Source organism: Homo sapiens, chromosome 21 (assembly GCF_000001405.40).
Source record: "Homo sapiens chromosome 21, GRCh38.p14 Primary Assembly".
NCBI classification, from domain to species: domain Eukaryota; kingdom Metazoa; phylum Chordata; class Mammalia; order Primates; family Hominidae; genus Homo; species Homo sapiens.
Genome location: NC_000021.9, coordinates 34,308,663 through 34,312,239, shown reverse-complemented (window position 1 = coordinate 34,312,239; position 3,577 = coordinate 34,308,663).

Genomic DNA, 3,577 nt, shown 5'->3' with positions numbered 1-3,577 from the left:
AACTATTTATTAATATGCAGTAATAGTAGTAATAGTAGGCGCTTGAAATCCTCATGGGATAGCACTCTTGATTCTTCCAGAATTCCCCAACTCAAGAATGTGGAAAATTTGTACAGGCTCCTGGCGCCTTCCCGAATCATATTTCCATCGGGAGTTAAGTGCTTCCTGAGCGTCTCGTACACCACGATCTAGCTGCCTCTTCAACTCGCACAAAACATCTAGCTCTTGCTTGAGAACTGCTTTTCACACACATGAAAACTCTAAGTTTTATAATTTCAAAAGACTTTTAGTAGTCAAGGGGAGGAGATCCACACACCACACTGGGATGAAGATGGAGGGTGGTAAATGATTTGTTCCCAATACAAGCTTCATGGTGTAATTAGCTCATATCAGTGCCTCAGCCAAATGAGGGCTTCTGAATCACACAGGGAAATTCGAAACTTCAAATTATAGGTCTACAAATTCTATACAGTACCTTTTTAAAAAGATCTTATGAAGTCAGTTCATATAATTAACCTGATCTAATCTGAGAAACATGCGATTAGCCTATCCTCCACATTGCACAGTGGCGTAGTGACAATAAACAATAAGAATACTGAGAACAGTATAAAAAAACACTGATTCATTCATTAAAAAAAAAGTATTGAAGAAGCATTTCTGGTTCTGTTGGTTTCTCCATTCAGAGATGAGGAAGCAGAAATTGGAAGTGGTTGGTTACCTACTGGTGTCCCTGGTAATACCATGCCACCACTCCCAAAGAGGCCACTCAAAATACTATAGATGATATTTAAAGAAAATAATTTTTTTAAGCACAGTTGAACTGGCTTCAGAACAAGTCATGCCTAGGAGGTCAGAAACTTTGAGAAAGCATTAATCTAGAGAGAACAGCTAAGGCTGAAGGCACTGGTCACCAAGTGGGGCATGGGCTATATCTTACTGGCCTGGCCCAGGTTTCAAGGGATCATGCGGGCACCAGGGATTGAGGAGATGGCTGGGAGACCCCTCATATAAGGCTAAGACCACTAAAAAGCAGTACCTTTAGGAAATGAACCAGAGACCAAGTACCTGCCCCTCCTTGCCTGTCAAGAAAAGAACTTGCCTGTCTCCACCTTGGGAACTGGCAGGAAAGAAATATGTCACCTGACAATTTCTAATAGCAAACCAAAATTCATACTACTTGGGGAGCTCTAAAGCCAACAACTTATATAAAGGAGCATCCCCAGGCATCCAAAAGAAACTACCGCACTGCCTTATTGATACTAGGCCTCAAAAAATTATCACAGATAAAGTTACAAGGAATTAGAGGTCAGGATCAACATTTACTAACCTCATGAAGAAACAGGCCAGCATGAATAAAATGAGCCATCATGAATGAAAATCCACAGAAATCATAAACTGCAGAATCAGACCTTCAAAGACCACAGATATTGGAAAAATCAACATGGAATATGAAATAAACTCATAAGAAAATGTTTCAGGAAATAAATGAGGTGATTGAATAAATGATGAAGATATAAGAGACTATCAAAATATGCAGACTTGATAAGGAGCCAACAAGGACTACTAGAAACAAAAGATAGACATGAATGTGGCACAGAGAGACATAGGTAGAAAATATATAAGCAGCTAAGAGGCACGGAGGATAAAGTGAGACAGTCTAACATGTTACCAGGTCTGAGTTTCATGAATTGGTAATAGAAACGATGTAGAAAAGGCAGTATTTAAGAAGATGATAACCGTGAATCTTACCGAATCGATGAAAGATATCAACCCTCAGATTCAGAAAGTCCAAAAAGCACCAAATTAGATAAGTACAAAGAAATCCTCACTTAGAGACATCACTCATGAGACTGTAGAACAGAGGTCAGCAGATCCTGCCACCTCGATGAAGTTTCATGGGAACTCAGTCATGCTGTTTGTTTAGGCGTTGTTTATGACTGCTTTCATACCACAATGGCAGAGTTAAGAAGTTGCAACAGAGGCCGTATGACCTGCAAAGCTAAAAGTATTTATTATATGGCCTTTTACTGAAAATGTTTGCCTATTCCGGTTGTAGAATATCAAAGAGGAGATACTGATTATTCAAATCATATGACAACTTAGCAGCAGAGTTAGAATTTCATCTTAGATCTCTTGACCAATGATTCTCAAAGTTGGTCCCAGAATAAAGACCAGCAGCATCAGCAGCACCTGGGAACTTGTTAAAGGTGCAACTTCTTAATCCCAGCACTTTGGGAGGCCGAGATGGCCGGATCACTTGAGCCCAGGAGCTGGAGACCAGCCTGGGCAACATAGCGAGACCCCATCGCTACAAAAAAATACAAAAATTAACCAGACATGGTGGCACACGCCTGTAGTTCCCACTACTAGGGAGGCTGAGGTTGGGAGAATTGCTTGAGCCCAGGAGGTCGAGGCTGCAGTGAGCTGTGATTGCGCCACTGCACTCCAGCCTGGGTGACAGAGCCAGATTCTGTCTCAAAATAAACAAATAACTTCTTGAGCCCCATATGCCTCTGGAAAGATTCTGATGTGTGTGAAAGTTTGGGAACTAATGCTCTTGACTAGTTTACTAGACCAGAGGTTCTCAACTTTCTAATGATTTTAAGAGTTCTCCATTACAATCACCTGCAGAGCTTTGATAACAATACCATTGCCTGCCCTTACCTCCAAAGACTCCCACCTAATAGGGCTGGAAGCAGGCCTGGGCATTGGTATTTTTAAAAAGCTTCCCAAGTGAGCCCTGTCTTCATTCAGGTAAGAACCACTGCATTACAGGTGACTGCCTTCCTTATTTTATCACTGGTGAAACAAACATGGAGAAAACCTGACAAATTCCCAAAACTTTGTGTTGGATATGTTATTTATGATTATGCAGACTAAATGAGAACAATTTGGGGGTGGGGAGGACTATTTTGCTGAGTTCATGGAACCGCCTAAATAAGTCAAAGTCAAATAAGTCAAAAAAAATCCCTCCTTTCCTTTCGTCTCCCTCATCTCCCTCCTGGAAGAGGAGCTACTGGGCAGTGAAATAACCAAATGTGAAACCATCTGAATGGATAGGGAAGCATACTTCATGAACAATCCATTTTATTGTAAACAATTGTCAGATAATGTAGGGTTTTGGTAATGCCCACCTACATGAGCAAAGGATAAAGGAACTGAGAAAGCTAAGATTTGGCCAGGCGCAGTGATTCACACCTATAATCCTAACACTTTGGGAGGCCAAGGCGGGAGGAACACTTGAGCCCAGGAGTTTGAGACCAGCCTGGGCAATGGAGCAAAACTCCGTCTCTACTAAAAATACAAAAGACATTAGCCAGAAGTGGTGGTGAGCACCTGTAATCCCAGCTACTTGGGAGACTGAGGCGGGAGGATGGCTTGAGCCCGGGAGGTTGAGGCTGTAGTGAGCTGTGATCATGCCACTGCACACCAGCCTGGGCAACAGAATAATACCCTGTCTCAAAAAAAAATCTGTGATTTGATGGGTTAGGAAACCTCAGCCCAAAATCTTCTGCCGTGTAGGTGCACGAGATGAGGGCAGTGGGGGGCAGAGTACTTATGCTAAAGTTCTCACGGA